At 33.4% G+C, this 21,365-nt stretch overlaps 1 annotated feature.

The window, feature by feature from the left end:
- Positions 228 to 729: an enhancer, noted in NCBI's record as "NANOG hESC enhancer chr4:60024914-60025415 (GRCh37/hg19 assembly coordinates)". NCBI's record gives its function as "activates a minimal SCP1, AML or CMV promoter by ChIP-STARR-seq in naive H9 embryonic stem cells {active_cell/tissue: H9 hESC(naive)}" and the evidence as "EXISTENCE:reporter gene assay evidence [ECO:0000049][PMID:30033119]".

Raw genomic sequence — 21,365 nt, 5'->3', positions numbered from 1 at the left:
TGAGACAAAACCCTCCACCAGTGAAAAGATTAATACTTGCTGAAGGCTTAGATTATCATTAGCATTTTTAATCCATAAGGTGTTTTTAATAGACTTGCTACATTGCAATATTTGCTTTAACATTGTGGTCTGGAACCAAACCATATCTCCAAGATATGTCTGTAGATACTTAAATTTAAAATTACATAATTTGTTTTTAGCTAGTGGGAATATCAAAAATATTCTCCAGTGTCACCTCATGTCTCTATTATTAAAGTCTCTCTATACACCTGAGAAGAGGGATGATCAGCTATAATTCATTTCTTTTCCTCTTACCATTTACTGGTTACTGCAGCAGCATTTGGATTATTTCCTATTCTTTCTGTGATTTTCAAGGTGGTGATGCAGGGCTTTGGAATTTTACTGTTCCCCACTCAGCATCACCCCCCATTGATCTCTTTCCATTTCTTTGCAAGAACAATAAAAACAACAATGATTTCATGCATGCTCATCGTATGCAAATTTAAGTGTATGGCAAACATTATCTCTTTTAATTTTACAAATATCAGTGAGGGAGGATCTTTGTTTATCAATGAAACTAGTTTGTAGGTAAAAAACAGATGATCATCAAGGTTACATAATATGTCTCATGTCACATAACTAGTAAGAGAATGCTCTGACCATCACAGGCAGGTCTCTCGAATTCTAAATTACCATGTTCCCTTTTATTCCCAGAGCTCTTGTGTGAGTATCAACTTTGTCAGGGATTGAGGTTAAACATTACCTGAAAAGATACAAGATTTTTCTCAGCCTTGGGAGGATAATCAATGTCAGTATCATAAATCCTCAAAGAATGACGTAGTATATACACTTATATCGTATAATTTATGAATAACTAATAGGTAGATACAGTTTAACATTTAAAGGGATAGTAATAAGAGGGAAATCAAAAGAAGGGAATAATACAGTTTAATGTTTTTGCATGACACTTTTCTACTGAACTTCATAAAAATTTATGATTAGTTATAGCATTAGAAAATGTTGGATTCTATCTAAACACTTTAAGTTATTAAAGACAAGGAGTAAAATTTCTCTCTATATAATTGGTTAGTAGCCAATGTTTTAATTCATTACTAATAAAATTTTATTCAATTACTATAAATGGTAGCAATATTTGACAAAATATATTTTTCATAAAGAAATAAGTTCAACTGAAAATCTCTCCTTAAGACTATTTTCTAAGATGCCTTTTCTACTCTAGAGCTATTTCAGAAATTTATTTAAACTTTGTAAATCCAGGGTAAAAGCTTTTAAAATATGTTAGCTGTTGAAATAGTATTCTGTAGGAAGGCAGGCATATTATTATATTTAAAATTATTGTCTGAAGAGATGTAAAATAAGATACATCTTGAACAGTGATAGAAAGCTGACATCCAGAAAAATAGGTACATGCAATCAGAGTTTGTTGTAATAAAGAATGACAAAATTTCTATACACCAAAGCCATTCATTGAACAAAAGTAAATCATTTCTGAATAGATATTGATTAAAGTACAAAGCATAAAACTGACACGTCAATAAAGGTCAGAATGAAACTATTATAGGAAATAGTTGACATGACATGGTGATATGTTGGACCAATAAGAAACATAATGAAATATAAATGGAATACAATGGAGCGGAAAAATGAAATGTTGAAAACATATGCAGTGATCAAAAATAGGAAAGACTGCAATAAAGAAGAAAAATTCTGGAAGAGTGTTTTAAAAGGAGGTGCTGGTGGCTTTTAACCAAATTGAGTACAGATAAATCCATCCGAGGGTATATGGGATTAATGGATCTGTCTATACAGAGCGGAGCATGAGTGAATTCATGGCTGTTGATCATGATATTCAGGACTGCCAAGTTCCTTTGTGGCTTGTAACAGAGAATCTGTGCCTGTATAATGTATCAGAGTGGGCATAGACTGCCAAAGAGAATGCCTAAGATAACTCTGTGTAGAAGGATGAAATGCAACTTTTTTTGGTCTGTGATTCTTAATTGTTAAATGTGTATTTGCAGCTAAAGTAATTACAAATCGGAATCCCTGTTTTTGTTATTGTTTTCTTAATGTATGGTCACTAAAACTTAATAAAGCTATACTATCTGTGCAATACTATCTTACATTGAGCATTTTTCTTTACTCCAAAATATTTCCCATCAATAAAAACAACAAACAAAATATGTATAAGACCTTTCTTTCACCTCCCTTCTTAATAGCAAACCAAACTTTTTGGAGTGGTTTATTCAGGTTTTATGCTTCTTTCTGCATGACCCGTGCTTTTCAGAAGACTTAACTTGCCTAATGTTAGTTTGCTTACTGAGTTTTCAGAATTTTGGTCTGTGGTTAGTGTCTAATAAATGTGCTTTGAATTCCACTGCTCCTTAGAAATTATTTGTTCCATATGAGTAAATTAAAAAAAAAAAACCTTCTTTTTACATTTAGTAAACAAGAATGTTATTGAAGTTATTTTAAACAAGAGAATGTTGTAAAGATATTTATATAAACCATAAGTAGTTATACCTATGTAAGGTTTTTTTCGTATTAACTATTATTTTCACTAAGAAATAGCCATAATTCCTCACAAGCCAGGATAGCACAATGAAGAAATTTATACTATGAAATCTGAAGTCAAGTTAAATTTTATGTGGACTTGAGTAATTTACTGAGAATCTCTTGGCTTTATTTTCTATTCTGTAAAATGTAAAAAAAAAAAAGTGAAGATTTCAGACAATATGTGAAAAGCTTTCAGTATGTAAGGACTAAGAAAATTGTCACATAAAAACTAAATTCAGAAACCTCCACAATTAAATACTTCATCATCACTTTTTACTCTAACTTTTCCAAATAATAGCTATTTCCAGATTATAAATTTATTTTATATTAAACATTTTATAATTATATGATGATGATGCAGAATGTAAAGTAGTATTTACGTACCACTTTTTATAAATAGAGAAGTAGCACTCTTAAGGATGTTGAGGCATAAATAAGGTTTTGGGAATTGTAATTTAGAATCATATTTTATTATCCCCAAGTACTAGTTCATATCACTTTAAGGTGATTTTAAAAAAGGAAAGTCAGCTTCCTAAGTAAATATTGAATTAGGAGCAAATTCTTCTTTGATAATTTGCCAAAACAACTAAATTATTAATATAGTAATTGTATAATTTTTAAAATTTCTCAAAAATGACAGATAATATGTAAAGAACAGTGCTTTTCCACCTGTCCAGAGTTATTTTAGGGTCAGTTTTAGACATTGTTGTAATACCAAAAAAAGTTTAAATAAATAAATAAATACATTTCATGCATTTTAAAGAGCTTTATTACAAACATAAAAGTTATCTTACTGAAAACAAAGGCAGAATATTTATTTGGCACATTCAGGCCTTAGGAGAAACTAGGCACTGAAATTGAAAATTTGAAGAAGTCAAACAGCTATCCATGCCATTTCCTTTTTTTTTCCTCTGGGCTGGGATGTTTTCTTATCTCTTATTTCTATTCTCCACATGCTTACTTAGAATATGAAGTGACACACCATGAGCACAATTTAACTGTTTGCTAAATAAGAGTAAATTCTTCTTTAAAATGTGGGAGATTTTTAGTGCATAAAGATTCATAGAATGCAAGTTTCATTTTGAGAGATCGAAAGATAGCAAACTGTCAGATGTCTCTGAATCCAAATTCCAGGGAGAAATAATCTCATTGGCACTGTGTGTGTCAGGGATCCACTTCTGGTCATTATACTGTGATTAGGGGCAGAGTCAAAAGTCACACACATAGACACATGCAGCAGCTTAGTTCTCTGAGAAATGGATCTTGCTCTTTGTGCTGGTACTTCAAGAGATGTTTACTATAGGAAAGTTGTGAGCTCTTGTTTCTAGCTACACCATCAGTACTCACTAGGCATACAAAAGTAGAAAATACTTAATGGGAAGAAAATGAAAAAATGCAGTGGGCCTATGTATCTATCTACTTTATCTATCTATCTATCTATCTATCTATCTATCTATCTATCTATCTATCTATCGAATCTTTTGCTAGTGTTATACATCAAAGAAATCTCTTCTATGACATTGAGGTTAAAGAGCTGTCATTAATTGTAGCATAGAAAGCTAAACTCCTGAATATCTCTTACACAATTCAGATATATCAACTTTTCTCAGTATATAGTTGCATCGGTGTTTAGCTTGTACATTCAAAAACATGTAACGCTTTCTGTCTGTGTGCATGTGTGTGTGACACTAATCACTTTGCTATTACAAATAACATGTTTAAATTTTTGTTTTGCTCATGGTATTTCTCTCCTTAAGGTGCTTAATATATAGTGTTTTCTCTTTCTTTTTTCTTTTATTTTCTTGCCAGAAGTATTTTATCAGTGGTCCCTATTGTTTTCCATGGCCAGATATTAATTCTTCCTCAGGATCTGACTTAGAAGTTACTTCATTTTTTTTGTATAAGTGGAAAAGACCCTGTAAGTCTCTCTTGAATATCTGTGTGTTTTCTGTATTTAATGGAAGTTTTGTAATGATTTAACTCTTCATTTTTTAAAAAATTATCGAGACTGTAAAACCTGTCTCAGAGCTTGACACATTGCAGAACTCTGAAAATATCTGTTAACTATATGGATGAATTAATCTAGATAGACTATTTCCATCACACTTAATTATAATAAATTCCAGAAAAAAATAGTTAATACTACCTGATATTAGTCATTCTTGTCTATTCATATAAATTTAATGAATAATTAACCAGATAACAATATGCTTATTAACCAGCATAAGAATATGCTAAATATTGTTAGGTATGCTCAATTACTTACTACATCGTCTTTTACAAAAATAAATAAACATTTTTGGGTTGCTTTCAGCCCTCTCACTTTGTGCCAAAGGTAAGGCCAAGAGGTTGGGTTAAAAATGGATTTCAATAGCAGTCACTTCCCTGTATTCAAACTCTCTACTCTTCATCAATGACTAAGCCTTTGTTATTAGGTCAGGATCATTATCTCTCTTTTCTCAGAATGAGTTGCTTCTCATAAACCTGTTATTCCCCTTGAAAAATAGGCATGTGTCCAGTCACCCCAAGAGTTTTCTCTATTTTGAGATATATCTGAATTTTAATGATAGAAACAGGTTGAAAGTTTTCATTTATCTATTTGTATGTGTTTGTTTTCTTGGTCTTTTCTCACAAGCCTTCTGACTCCTCAAATAAATTTGGTATATCATGCCACTTTATTCACCAAACATATTCAGGGATGCATGCAAAAATCCCTGAAATAAATAGGAGTACTTCTTTATCGTTAATTTTAATTCTCTACTAGGGATTGATAACTCGATGAAGGCTGAAATCAGGGTTATAAATATACATGGCCATTTATAAGTTAAAAGAGATAAATCAAAAAGAATAAAGTAGAAAGAAAGAAAGAAAGAAGAAAGAAAGAAAAGAGAGAAAGAAAGAAAGAGAGAAAAATAAAGCAACCAACCAAACAAAGTACAATTTCCAACTGGTAGCATTGTAAAAGCAATTATAAGTAAGTTTGTATTCTTCTTGTAGCCTACACAATAAAAACTATTGCACAGTGCTAGGCACATCACTTAGGACTCAATACATTTTCAATGACTAACTGGGGGAAGTTAATAAATGTATGCATTTGTTCACTGATTGGAATGGTTAATTTAACATGTCAACTTGACTGGATTCAGGAATAACTAAATAACTTGTAAAGCATTATGTCTGAATGTGTCTGTGAGGGTGTTTCAAGAGGAGACTGGAATATAAATCAATGGACGGAATGGGGAAGATCTATCCTCAATGTGGATGAGCAACATCCAATTGTCTGGGGGCCCAAATAGAACAAAAAGACAAAAGAAAACAATTTCCTTCTCCCTCTGTCCTAGAACTGGGACGCTTTTTCTCCTTCCTTTGGACATTGGAACTCCAGGCTCTCCAGCTTTTGGACCCTGGGAGGTTTGCGCAAGACCCCATCCCTCTTCGAGTTCTCAGGCCTTCAGCTCAGACTGAGAATTAGACCTTAGGCTTCCCTGGTTCTGAGGCCTTCAGACTTAGATGGAGCCACGCTGCCAGCCTCTCTGGTTCTACAGCTTGCAAAGACTTTTGTGAGACTTCTCAGTCCCCATAACTGCATAAGCCAATTCCTCTAATAAATCCCTTCTCTTACATCTATCTACATACACATTATATATGTATGTGTGTGTGTGTGTGTGTGTGTGTGTGTGTGTTTGTGTGTATCTCCTATTTTTTCTGTCTCTCTGGAGGACCCTGAAAAAATAAACCAAGTGAACATTTATAGAAGGTTTGTTTATGTTTAAGAAAACCAAGATGATAAACTAGGAGCTTATAGAAAGGAGTCCATGTTAGTCCAAATGCATCTAGGCAGTGTACAACTTTAAATTTTCTTAGAAATTGATTCCAATAAAAATAATTAGTAAAAGTGTCTTCCATACAGAAATCATGAGGTAAGGTGTCTTTAAAACAGTCCCCTATACATGGTGAAACATAAAATATAGATTCTAAATTCTTAAGGCCATAAGTAAACACATTTAAATATGTTAGGGAAATTTTTAAAATCTAAGTTAATGAAGAATAAAACTGATTCATTAAAAACCAACTTATAAAAAATTAGAATAACATAATTATACAAATTAACATATCCTTAGGAATCAGTTGGCAGCACAATAAAGTATTTTTCAAGACTAATGTTTTCCTAACCTTACTGATAATTAGAATCTCCCATGGACCATTGCCAAAATAGACACCTGGGGACCTGATACAGAAGACAGCGGAAAAGTCTGGAAAATATTGTAAAAATAACCTCCCCTGATAATTCTGATAGTCTATCAGACTTGGGATCCATTGCTCTACCTCTGTAACATATTAGAACTAGGAAAACATAGGAGCTAGATAGTTTAGCTCTAATTAGTTTCTTTTATCTTGTTATCAATGAGCAAAATCCTTCAAATATCATCTTCTTTTACTTAAAATATGCCCATCAAAACTTACCCATGATTTTAATTCTCATCATTCCTCAGTCCTCACTGACACAAATGAATGAGCCTGGGAAAGGAAACATGTGATAGGTGAATCGGTCTGGTTTTTGCCTTCCTCTGCTCTCAAGCTTAAGAATGCATTTGAGTCCACAAGTTACCACAAGGAGTCTGCACATTTGAATTGCTTGGTCTCTATATGGCATAGACCGGGATGTTAGGATAATTACATTCTACTCTGATTTTGTTTGTTTGTTTTTTTGCTACCCCATATGGAATCATCACACCTGCACCTAAACTTGGAACACCTACTGGCCTCCAGAGTCCAAAGAATTGCATGAACTAGATTCTGCTGATGTTTGCAAGATTGAAGTTCTCTAATCCTACAAACAAATAGTCATTCACTGTGAAAGACTCACTATGGGGAGGTTATGAGGTGACATGAAGATATTGTAGCCCTTAGACCAATTATGAAATGTTAAATAAACACACTTCTTGTATTATCCTCCATGACAGAAGATCCAATCCATCCTTCTAGATGTGTGATCTCTTGGGGTGGGACAGGAATCTGGCATGATCAACAAAATACTGCTCTAAACATTTTCATGTTATTGTTTCTGCCTTGTCTTTGGGGCAACCTCCAATGGCTAGGTTACAAGTTTACTCTATTACTTCTTATCATAACAGCAGGACACTTGCATAGTGCAAAGTAAAGACACATACATAGCTGAAGGCTTGGGCTTTAAACATGTAATCAAGTAAATTGTTGGTGCTCACAAACAATTTATTTGGCTTTCATGACAATTAATGTAAATGTAAAATCAATCATAACAATCTTATTTAAATAAAATGTGTATATTCCAATATCAGAACTTCACATGGAAAAATCATGAGGGTCACAAGAGTATAATTTTTGTACTGATTTTATGACCAATGCCTAATTTGAATAATAAATTATTCATCTGTATGTGTGTGTTTATTGAACTAAGTTTTTATTTGTCTTACACCATTGGAACATGAAAGCTGTAAAAATAGCAGAAATAAAATATCACTTTTTCCTTGCACAACTTAATTATTAAATAGAATATATGGGAAGCAGATGTATTGCAATATCTCCTCATAAATATTGTTCTCTTTTACTCAGCCTCAGTGTCTGATATGAGAAGTAATTGGTGTATTAAGTCATGGGAATCTCAATTCACATACATTACGTTAATTTCTACTGAACTTATGTCATGCTTTAGATCACTTATTTATTGTGGTTCTGATAAAAATTCTATTCATTCATTTTGTAACGTTACATACATAATACTAGCTGCCTTTCCTCGAGTACCTAATATGTGCCAAGTACATTGTTAAATTTGAATATTTTATAATATAATATCTAAAAATACTTAAAATCCCTATTTTATGGGTGAAGCAGGTGAACATGGAGAGGTAAAGATTGTCTCATATCTTACTACCAAGAAATGGTACAATCAGGATGTGAAGGCACATGACAAATTCTTAGCCTTCAGTCATTGCACTGTGCTGTTTCCTATTTCAGGTATGTCAAATACAAAGGAAGGAATTCTTGTCAAATTCTCTTATATGAATATTTTATAAACCTTATACATAAAAGGACTATCGTTGTTCCTTTGAAATATTCTACTGTTCCTCTGTGAAGGACTTCACATTATATGTGTGTGTGAATTGAAAGCAAAGAGGAAAAAATCACCTTTCAATCTACCAGAAATATGATGGAACAATGTGCGTGTGTATGTGTGTCTCTTCCTCAAACATACTGTGTTATCTATTTTATTATCCGTCTGTAAAAATTATTAAAATATGTGATTCTATTCATCATGATAAATTTAAGCATAGGAGAAAAGTAAAGTCTTATTTAAAGTAATGGAACTTATTCTGTACACAATAGAAAAATCTATTTTAAAAATCACTTGTGAATCTACAGTAGATGTGATGATATAATGTTATAAGTTTCTTTTACACACATACATACACATGTTATTTTACAAGTTGTAAATTTCATCTCATTAATTTAAAAACACATTTTAATGTCTGCGTATCCAATATTCCTTATGGAGCAATAATTTAAATTTAAATTTAACATGAAGGAAGGAATTTTTGTCTGTCTTATTCACTGACATGAACATCAAAAGTGCCTGGCATATGAGCCACGTGTTGAATAATTGTTTAATGAATAAAGTAATGAATGAATTTACTGATGACTCTGGATTTGGAAATGTTGGCTCTTTTCAGTTTTCTATTATTTAAAATTTCATGTGATGATTACAGCTTATTCACTGAACGAAGACATGATTACTTTCTTATGATCGATTCCCAGCAACACGATTATCAGTTCAAAGGGTATATACATAATGTTATGGCTTTTGAGTTCCAGTTCTTCTTCATTTAAGAATTAAAAAAATGCAAAAGGAGATTGTCTACTCATTTTCTTGTCCCTGCAGTCTAGCATTGGAATTCATGGTAATGAGAGAGAGCTGGATTGGTCTTTCCACAACATTTTGGTTCTTAGAAGAAATATTTTAGCCATTTCACTACACTAAGATTTTATGCTTATCAAACTATCTGACAGCTGCCAGGCTCTATGTCTCTTCCATTAAAAAATTTGGCTCTTGAGTCCACTCTATATCTAATTATCTGTACCTATTTTTTTCCTGCAAGTTTTCCTTGTTTTCTCATATCAAAGTGACTCATGCTAAATTGACTTTGTGGTTATCTATCTATCATCTATCTATCTATAATTTTAGATTTCATGAGGTGTCTGAGGGCAAGAATGAGGCTAGATAGCTGATAGTTGCCACCTCTATTGGCATCATTTAATTGAGATGGAAAGACAAAGAATGGGCTAAGGGATAGGCTTTTTATTTAAACAAATTATCCTGAAAAATATATACAACTACTCATAATCCTCATTATCTATGAATGAGGACACTTCCTTTCCTAATCTTTGGACTACTGTGAATAATTTTAGGTGCCATTTTGTGAGGAGAAAACTGGCATCTCATTTATTTTTCATGTTTTGATTATCAGTTTAATGCCTGCATCTCATAAATGTATTGTCCATGTGACTTTTGTCATGTATAAAATGCCTTTTTTTCTTACTTTATCTCAGCATATTTGTCTTAGTTCTTACTGTCTTTAATATTTACCTTTGAGGTTGACTCACCATTGAGATATAAAAAAGATAATATACATGAAAATAACATTTTGAGAGAAGCTGATTTCAAACTGAGATCTGAGATTACTGTATGTCTTTGTATTTTTAATCTGATTTACTAGTTTCATTTAATGCTTGGTCTTTTCAGATTGGGGCATGCAGAGAGAAAGAAAGGGAAAGGTCCCTGCACTGCATGTTTACACACTGAGCAGAGGTTGGCGCTGAGTTACTTTGCCAATTAACACCTGGGCCTGCAGTTCAGAGGATACACAGGGCACTATTGAACCTTTCAGACATTCATTGTTTGAAAAGTTTATAAAAAGATTGAACATTTCATTCTCAAAATTACACTGAGCTTCAAATAAATTGAAAGCACTGTGAAGGGTGTAGCATTCTGCTTCCTTCAGAAAGTCACAATCTACTGTTTGTTTTTTGATTCCCATTATATGAACGTTTTGATGTATTATAATAGGGCTGCAATATTGAACTGAAAATTGAGTTCAAGTTACATCACTTGCTGTAGCAACAGGGTCCTCAAGTAAAGCAGTGAGAACATTCATTGTGTACCAATTACCTGGAAAAGAGGACTTTTAGAATCCTGATTGGGCCACATTCAGGTAATCTATTTCTTGGACCTTTACCATAAAATCATAAAGAAATAAGAAAGCAAACAGATGGGAGAGAAGGTAGGCAAAAAGAAACCTTAAAATGTACCTATAAAGTTGTATCAGCTCTTCAAGGCACCAAAAAACTTACTGCAAATGGAGCAGCCACTTTCAGCCCAGAGAGCAAACTCCCTGTGCTAGCACAAGAAACTTGTCCTGTTTAAGTTACTCTATAGTATTTTATTGCTATTTGTTGTTTCTTGGTATTTATTAAGAGATTTATTTATATTTCTGGGCAGCTTATGCTGAGCTAAAATTGAAATTGAAGTAAGAATAGAATTGGGATACAAATCTATATCAAAACTATAAAATGAAAGTGATGTACTTCTGAGGTGCCTCCATACTGGAGTATCAGGAATCAAAGTGTGAGAACTCCAAAGAGAGATGCTTCACTCTGGAAACCACTGGACTGATAAATAATGAATGTCCCCTTTTCACTTTGAGGTTTTTCTTCCAAGTTTAAAGCACAGAAGGACTAATCCCTGCTTTAAAAAGTGAGGTAAATTTTCTTACACACATAGACCTATCTAAAGATAGCACAGGATATTTTTGTCAAGTACTACAAACTGAATGACATCTTGGTGAAATGCACATAAAACTTTTGAATCAATTGATACCCAGTGGATTTGGCATGTGTTCTATACTTTCATTCATCAAAAATTTTCAAGAGTTTTGATCTCTACTAAAGATTAAACAGGGCTGAGTTTCTTATTCATTTATTATGAGTTTGATAGAGAGCAATATTGTTGGCAAACTGATCTGCCTCTTGAGAAGAATCCCTTGAAATGCGTAGATCATTCCTGAGTCCATCCTATTGCATAGATCATTCCTGAGTCCATCCTATTTATTGATTCCAGGATTTTATTGGCAAGATACTTCAGGAGAGGGAAGTGGGGTAGAAAAATGCAGCCGGGGTTGGGTGTAGGATGTATGTATGTTAGCAGCAGAAGGGGAGCTGATGGCAAAGGGTTAGGTGTTCTGAAGATATATGCTTATATAAAGTCTGAGTTTTCTGAGAATCACACACCAAACTGAGACTTGAGTTGTGTATATTTTAATAGAGTGACTGTGTGAAAGAGTATGGGGAGGCTGATAGAGGCACCAGATCACAATGCAGTTCTACCTCAGACACAAGAAGAGAGAAACAGGAGGGTGGAGAAAGCATGCTAGACTGTCATGCAGTCTAAGAAAGACTTGGCAGGGTATCTGGAAGCCTTAAGACCAAGTCAGCTTTCAAAAGACACCTATGTGTCTCAGGAAAGCCTTAGTATCCAGCTACCCTCAGCCCTTGGTTGAGAGGAGCCTGATGGAATCATGTCATGGCTATGGATTTTAAAGCACAGCACCTGGGGCTCTTGGTCCGTAATACTCCCTGAGTTGGAGGTCTACAAGCTGCATTTTTAATGGCATCACAATAAAAAGGGGTACAGAACAAATTAAAGATTTTTAGCATTTATCAAATGTTTACAATAAGGATTTCAAGTAAATTCTTATACTTAATGTACACAATAATTAAGAAAAGTATTATGTCACAATTATCAAAATTAGGATTCAGCGTATGAAGAGGTAAAATAATTAGCCCAAGGCCATAAGTTAGTTAGTGGGGGATAAGCGGGAGTTAAAGCAGGTCTGTGTAACTTCCAAACCCATACTTTTAACTTTTAAAGTTAGCTGCTTGAAAGACAATAAGAAAAGTAAACAGAATCCATTCACAATTGCCACAAAAATAATAAAATACCTAGGAATATGGTTAACAAAAGAAGTGAAAGACCTATTCATGGAGAACTAAAAACTACTGCTCAAAGAAATCAGAGATGACACAAACAAGTGGAAAAACATTTCAGGCTCATGAATAGAAAGAATCAATATTGTTAAATTGCCCATCTGCTTAAACCAATTTATCGACTCAATGCTATTTCCACTAAACTACCATTTACATTCTTCACAGAATTGGAAACAAAACTATTCTAAAATTCACATGAAAACAAAAAAGGGCCTGAATGGCCAAGACAATCCTAAGCCAAATGAACAAAGCTGGAGGTATCACACTACCAACTTCAAACTATACTACAAGGCTACAGTAATCAAAACGGCATGGTACTGGTACAACAACAGACACATAGACCAATGGAACAAAGTAAAGCATCGAGAAATAAGACTGCACACCTACAACCATCTTATCTTTGACAAACCTGACAAAAACAAGCAATGGGGAAATAATTCCCTATTTAATAAGTGGTGCTGGGATAACTGGCTAGTCATATGCTGAAAATTAAAACTGAACCGTTTCCTTACACCATATACAAAAGCAACACAAGATGAATTAAAAACTTAAATGTAAAACCGAAAACTCTAAAAACCCTAGAAGAAAACCTAGATAACACAGTCAGGACATAGGCACAGGCAAAGATTTCATGAAAAAAAAGGCCAAAAGCAATTGCAACAAAAGCAAAACTTGACTAATGGGGTCTAATTAAACTAAAGAGCTTCTGCATAGCAAAAGAAACTATCAACAGAGTAAACAGACAACCTACAGATTGAGAGAAAATTTTTGCAAACTATGCATCTGACAAAGGTCTAATATCCATCATTATAAGAAACTTAAACAAATTTACAAGAAAAAAAAAGCCCATTAAAAAGTGGGCAAAAGACATGAACAGACACATCTCAAAAGAAGCCATTCATGTGGCCAATAAAAATATGAAAAAAAGCTTAACATCACTGATAGAGAAATGCAGATAAAAACCACAAAGAGATACCATCTCACACCAGTCAGAATATCTATTATTAAAACTTCAAAAAACAACAGATTCTGGTGAGGTGTGGAGGAAAAATAAATGCTTTTACACTGTTGGTGAGTGTAAATTAGTTCAACCTTTCTGGAAGACAGTGTGGCAATTCCTCAGAGACCTAGAGGTAGAAAAACCATTTGACCCAGCAATCTCATTACTGGGTATATACCCAAAGGAATAGAAATTATTCTATCATAAATATACATGCATATGTATGTTCAGTAGCACTATTCACAATAGCCAAGACATGAAATCAACCTAAATGCCCATTCATGAGAGGCTGGATAAAGAAAACATAGTACATATACACTATGGAATATTATGCAGCCATAAAAAGAAACAAGATCATGTTCTTTGCAAGGGACATGAATGGAGCTGGAAGCAATTATCCTCAGCAAATGAATGCAGAAACAGAAAATCAAATACCACACGTTCTCACTTACAAGTGGAATCTGACTGATGAGAACGCATGGACACATGTGAGTGAACAACACACACTGGGGCCCATGGGAAAGTGGGGGATGAGAGGAGGAAGAGCATCAGGAAGAATAGCTAATGGATGCTGGTCTTAATACCTAGGTGATGGGTTGATCTGTGCAGCAAACCACCATGGCACACATTTACCTATATAACAAACCTGCACATCCTGCACATGTACCCGTGAACTTAAAAAAAAGTTGGAAATCCAAAAATAAAAAAGAGGAAAATAAACAAAAAGAAAGGGATAGGGAGATAAAAGAATTATGCAAGACAAGAAATTCATGTACATTCCTGTGAATGTTGAATCCTTTAGCTAGCTTAGGTTACTGGGTAATAAATGTAAAAAGATGAGTGAAAGCAAAAAAGCTTCTCATTTTACTTTTCTCTAAAAGTAGTGATTTACTACTATATTATTGGAGCCCTTTATGAATCTTTTGATGAAAAGTGGTAGACTCTTCTCCAAATTCCTACCTCTAATTGTGGTTAAGTGTAAAACATTTGTGAATGGGCTGTTGAATTCTGAGGCCATCCTTGAAATGTTACAGTCTCACGATTTTGTGGTTAAGATGTGGGCTGGGGCTGAAAATCATTAGAATGCATGATTGAGGTTAGAGTATCTACTTCCAAAATGGCTCACTCACATGACTGTTGACAGAATGTCTTAGTTTCTTACCATATGAGTCTGTCCGTAGGATTCCTTGGGTGTCTTCAAAACACCCATACACCAGAAAAAGTCATCCTAGAACACAAGACGGGAGCCACAACATCTTTGCTGACGTATCTTCTAAACTCACACCCATCATTTCTGCAATATTCTATTGGTTATTCAAGTCAGCTCAATTCATCATGAGCGGGACCTATGCAAGTATGTGAATACCAAGACGCAAGGTCCATTGGTGGCTCTCTTAGAGCTTGTTGTTATATAGGGTTTAAAGTGAATAGTACAAGAAGGCTGTATGGTTTGTATCATACAGCAATAGATATTTCCACTTAAAAATGTCTAAATAGAAATCATAAACCAAGTGGGATCCGGCAAAGCACAGAAACATTTGAACAAGCAATATCAAATGAACATATCTATAGTAATAGGAAGCCTCTATGTTTTAAATAGCCTTGAGGATTCCAACTGTACAGGATGATGATATTTTCCCTGTGCTAAAATGAGAACTGGAACAGACAATAAAGGAGACCGTCTGGAGATATTGCCTTTACTACTGAATTTATTATATCAATAATCAGCAAACCAAAACAGCTTACTTCATACAAGAAATAAAATGCTCCCAAAGAACTTATTCAACTGATTTAAAGAAATAAAAAGTTTTCTGATAGCATTAACCATTCTGCTACCTCTGCCGAAGGGTTATATGGATATTCAGCATTAAGTACCGACAAAGGAACCTGAACACTGCATTCTGAAATGTTTTCTTCTCTCTAGAATACTGATGATATTGTATGAAGGTGCAGTCTAGCTACCTGGAAGCAAGGAAATATTTTTTTAAATGGATGTAGTTGAATATGAAACTTAAATCATAATGAGAAATCTTATTATTCATAAAATGGGAAAGTTACAATATTTTTACTTTCCTGGTAAATATATTGATGCCTTGGAACAGTATTGTTCAACCTTAAGTAATAGAAAAAATTCCACTCGAGTGGGCAAAATTATTTTCATGTACTCCTGATTGCTGATTTATTTTTAGCATAATGTCATTTAAACATGTAAAATAATGAAATTAGGTATACACTCATAGCTGATGTATAATAATCAAAAAGCCAATTTAGTAAAACAAAACACGAAAATACTCAAACAATGCTACTTAAATTAAGAACAGATGATGTTTACAAATGGAATTGCTTATAAAATAAATAATGTATGATATGCCATAGCAGGATTTTCTTTAAATTCAGCACATCCCTTTAACTATGTGTCTTGAGATAACTTAAATCTTCTCTCACCTCATGTATTCGGATTACTGGGATGCCCTAGTTTTCCAGTCATGGCATAATTTGACCATTAGTTGATATAAATGCATCATACAATAGTTCCTGTTTCTGTTCCTTTGACAGTAACTTTTTGTAGTTAGACTAGTATCTATTGCTAAAGTAATTATAAGTAAAGATGCAAGAAAGACACTAGAATGACATGATACTGATTGATGTAAAGTGCTGATGTAGACAATCCAACTACACACACAGACACACAAAGAAACAGGCAGCATGTAATGGGTATGTGTTTGTGTGTGTATTGATTGAGATTGGCATTGAAATTAAAATACAAAATTAGGAAAACAAACAAATAAATATTTTTGATCCCCAATTAAAGATCAACATTTTTTATCTTTGGGGAAAAATGAGAGAAAATAGGGGGAAAAAAATCTTTCTTTTGTTTGATTGAAAGTGAGGATGGAGTAGGTGAAAGACTTAAACTCTAGTTAAGGAAACAGCTATTATGAAAAGGTTACTGTGAGCTTTAGAATGACATATCTGCTATAAGGAGGTATTACACTTGAACTATGCTGTAAGGTGCCTGTGTCAGATAAATATTAACAACTGGAGCCCTGACACTAAAAAATAGTTTTCTGTATATTCTGTAAAATCCATATAAATTATGATATATTAAGAAGTTTCTATTGAGAGTGAAAGGTAGAATCCACAATAGAGGAACTTCTTAACAATTCAGTAGGTGCATATTAGGAAACTAATTCCGTTTAACATTGCCAGATAACTATTACACATACACACACACACACACACACACACACACACACACACACACAGAGCAATGTTATTGCATTTGTTCTGTTATTTGAGAAGCTGATAATTTCTGGAATTTGAGGGTAGTATTTTCATACTTTGTTTCCATCTAAATGAAAATATATTTATATTTACAAATATTCCACAAAACTTCACACTTTCTTTATGTTCTTAAAGTTCTGCTAACAGAACATTTTCCCACTAGTCAAAATGACAATCTAGTTACAACTGGAAAGAGTTGGAAGAGTTCACATCCTAGAGCACCTGTCAGAGTTATATCAAACGATGGTCCAGCTCATTTACAATGGACAAAAAAAACACAAAAAACAGGAAAATCAAAAGTGAGTCTTTCTCTCTTATGCTCAGAAGGTTATGTCTCTTGAAGTACAGGAACTGTACATATAAAAAGCCTTAACTGGTATTTGCAACAGGCAGCTTTATAAATGAAATATTTTAATATTTGTAGATCAAAGAACTGGAGAGAATTTTGTTTCGAGTATGACAGAGCTGCAGTTCGTGTGCCATCTTGTATAAGAACCTGCTTAGTTATGGCACTTTTCTTTGTCTAGTGCTGTGAAAGAATGTGTAAACTATTTAAATTCATCATGAAATATGCTCTTTATTCCTAAGGTTTCTGACCCTGAAAGCCTAATTTGCATTCAATTAAATCGCTAGGATCTTTCCAAGGAAGCAACTTAAAAGATAAGTAAATCTGAGTGGGTGCAATTGGCAAGCAGATGTTCATATATGAAATATAAGTCAATGAGAATTTTCTTGTATTTGAATTAAAATCTCTCCATTTTTGAGTAACATAAAGTTCTGATTGAAGCATTCACTCTTTTAGCCCTATCTTTTGGAATGAAGAACCTTTGCACACTAAGTGTTCTTGAGAATGCACAAAGCAAATGGTCTTACATGTCACAGGAGTAAACTTTTTTATATTAGTTAACTTAATTAATTTTCAAGGTACATTTTTAAGCATTGAAAAATTTTTAAAAAACAACTTTAAAGTGAACAAATGTATGGAAGCCTAAAGAAAAGATATCATATTTGAGTCATTTAAGTATATTGAAAAGAGTAATGAAATTCTTGAAATGAATACAATGTACATTCATTTATGCAATTTCTTATTCTATGCCCATTTCATTTAAAAATAAATCTAAGACTTCTAACACATTTACTTAATGTGCACATAATATAGATTTAAACTAAATTTAAGTATTCAATTCACCATTATTCATATTACCAGGATTGGGTCATAAAATAATTTTTATATCCTTATTAAGCAAAACAAATTTCATTGCAAATCAAGGAGTCAGTTAAGAAAAGACACTCAAATCTCTGAAACTCACTTCAATTATTATTAAATTGATAATAAATATAATAATGTTTATTTGTCTTCTATGGTTCTTAGATCATGTTTCATTATAAGTTTTCTGATACTTCAGGAATTGAAGATCTTTTCTAGAGCATTAAATATATTAGCAGAGAGTGGCTACTCAGAAAATCCAAGCTAAATATTACACATATTTTTTCATGAATTATACTGTTGCTTCTTATTGAACTAAGCCAATGATTTATGATTGTACTTTGAACTAAAAAGTACAATTTTACCTCATTTATACAAATGTACCTGGGTAAATGTTAAAAAAAGTACAACTGTACACTTTTAAGCAGCAATTTTTAAAAAATTGTTAATTACTTTCATAACATATAACTAAAGGCAAAACTTCTCTATTATCTTAATTCAAGTAAAATGAATTCCATATTACACTTTCTGAGATAACTTTCCTAGAAGAAATGTTGACCAGAGCACATGCCACGATGAGATATTATCATTGGGAAGGCCTGTAACTTTTTTGGGTCTTAGTTTTCTCACATGTAAATTATAACAGCTTCTGTAAACACTTGTGTACCTAAAATTAAATAAGATCATGCCGTTGCAAGTGATCTTCAGAGAGGTGGTCTTGGGGAGCTCCATTTTCTTGACAGAAGCTAAGCACTATAATTCCATGGTGAAAATAATCTAACATAATAATAATTACAACAACAATAATAATAGCAGTTAATGTTTATTGAGGTCTTATTGGTGCCAGACAATATTTTTGGCACTCTACATATGTTAATTCAATTAATTTCCATAGGAATTATAGAATTCATAGCCGACTATGATGGCTCCCCTGTTATAAGTGGGATATTATCCTATGAAGTAGGTATTATTATTACTTTTAGTTTATAGATGTAGAAATTGAGAACTATAGCTTGGGAAACATGACCAAGTTCACACATTTTTTAAGAAGGAGGAGCCTGGATTTAAACTCAAACCCTCTGACTCCAGAGCCACTTAGTATAATCTCGTTGGACAAAAAATACAGATATTTCTGGTTATATAATTCATTATCCACTATTTGAGTCCAACAAACATTAATTGATTTCCAATTACTTATAGGTGTATATGGGAGATAAAATGCCAAAAAGCCATCTTTAATCTTCTGAATATTATATGAATTATGTAAATGCGAAATAGTGAAAAAAGATCCGCACTAGAAGATCCTTCTCTGCCTGGTCCTGTTACTCACTGGACAGGCGACCTCAGGGAACTCACCTACCACTAATTTTCCTCTGATTTGTCATTGTAAATTATTCATAGTGAGACATGCCTTTTTATATTTATACATGTGCTTTTTCAAAGACTAAAGGAAATAATGTACTTTGATTAGTAAAGGAAAACATAAAAGTAAGTTATTATTACTATTCATAGTTTATTAAATTGGTAATTAATTCTATAACTAGACTTACTAAAGCATATGACTTAAGTTGGGAAGTTTACACATACTTTGAATTAAGATTACAATCTTTATTCAGCTCCACTTAAAGTGAATTATTTGAAATCCCGGGAACTTGTATTTTATTCACAGATTGAAAACAATGGAATTCATTAACTTATCAAATATTGTGTGATCCTTAGATAACACTGAATATGAAAACATAAATTAATAGAATAGCTTCTATTTTATCAAAACATATACACATATACATATATTAACTTCTTGGCATTTATGCAATAGCTTTTCTCCACAGACCCTAAGCCTTTTCATAAATTTCAGTTTAATTTCAATGATGTTAATTTTCACAACTGAAGATTTACAGACATAGTTGCTAGGCATTTTTGGTATAATTTTACTATAATATCAGTATCAAATAATAAGCAAATTCATGAAGAACACTTCAACATAAGCTGGAAATCCCTGCACAAATGTTACACATGGACAACTTGCAGACATCGGAAGAGAATGCAGACATTGGAAGACAATTGTCATGTACTTTCTAAATCTTCCTAATTTCATGCAAAGTAGTTCAATGCCCTTCTATCAGTGCTTAATGTGTGCTAGATTTCACACTTTTCCCCTTTTAGTTACTTTCCTAAAGACATGCTCTGACATCTACAATTTCTTTTTTTTTTTTTTTTTTTTCTGAGGCAGAGTCTTGCTCTGTCACCAGGCTGGAGTACAGTGGTGCCATCTCAGATCACTGCAACATCCACCTCCCGGGTTCAAGTGATTCTCCTGCCTCAGCTTCCCAAGGAGCTGGGACTACAGGCGGCCACCACCATGCCAGGCTAATTTTTTATATTTTAGTAGAGACAGGGTTTCACCACATTGGCCAGGATGGTCTCGATCTCCTGACCTTGTGATCCGCCCGCCTTGGCCTCCCAAATTGTGTGAGCCACCATGCCTAGCCTTCTTTTCATTTAATATATAATATTAAACTATCTGTATTTTTCCTTTCACATCACACTTTTCACCCCTTTATGCTATATTAGTACACAAGTTTGCATTGTATAGTTTAACAGTTACCATGGACAAGAAGTCACTGACTTCATAGACAAGCTGAGCAGATTGAATTTCACTTTCCAGACAAAATGATGGGCACCTATACCAAAGCAAAGAATTAAGCCACAATATGTGTTTCATATTTTTCTCTACCCACAGTGAACATAAATGATAAAATTGCAATTAATGAGGGACTTGGTCAGAGATTTTCACTGGTGGTTCATGGAAAAATAACTATATCAAGTCTTGGATTTAGCCACTCGTATAGGCACCTGCAGAAGCGCGAATATTCGCTTCAGCCGAAAGCCAGAGTTCCTTGTTCGATCCCAAATGTCAGCTAGATTTTATATCTGGAACACATTGATTAAAGAAGTGGTTGTGTCATGATGAGGAAAGACCCTTCAACACCATGGGAAATATAGATTGTGATGATTCTCCCAGTCTCAGGGAAAAAAAAGAATATCCAGTTATTTCAAGAACTATGACGCTAAAGGCTCAAGGAATAAATTTACTTTGATACCAAGAGACCAACAATAATAGGTCCCTTGTTATAAGTGGACGCTTTCAAGGAAAAAGTACTGGCTGAAATCCTAGCTCACATTGAGCCTACAAAGTCCATGGATCCACCTAATATTCAA

The sequence above is a fragment of the Homo sapiens genome, chromosome 4 (genome assembly GCF_000001405.40).
Source record: "Homo sapiens chromosome 4, GRCh38.p14 Primary Assembly".
In the NCBI taxonomy this organism is placed as follows: domain Eukaryota; kingdom Metazoa; phylum Chordata; class Mammalia; order Primates; family Hominidae; genus Homo; species Homo sapiens.
This window is presented reverse-complemented; position numbering and strand designations above follow the sequence as displayed.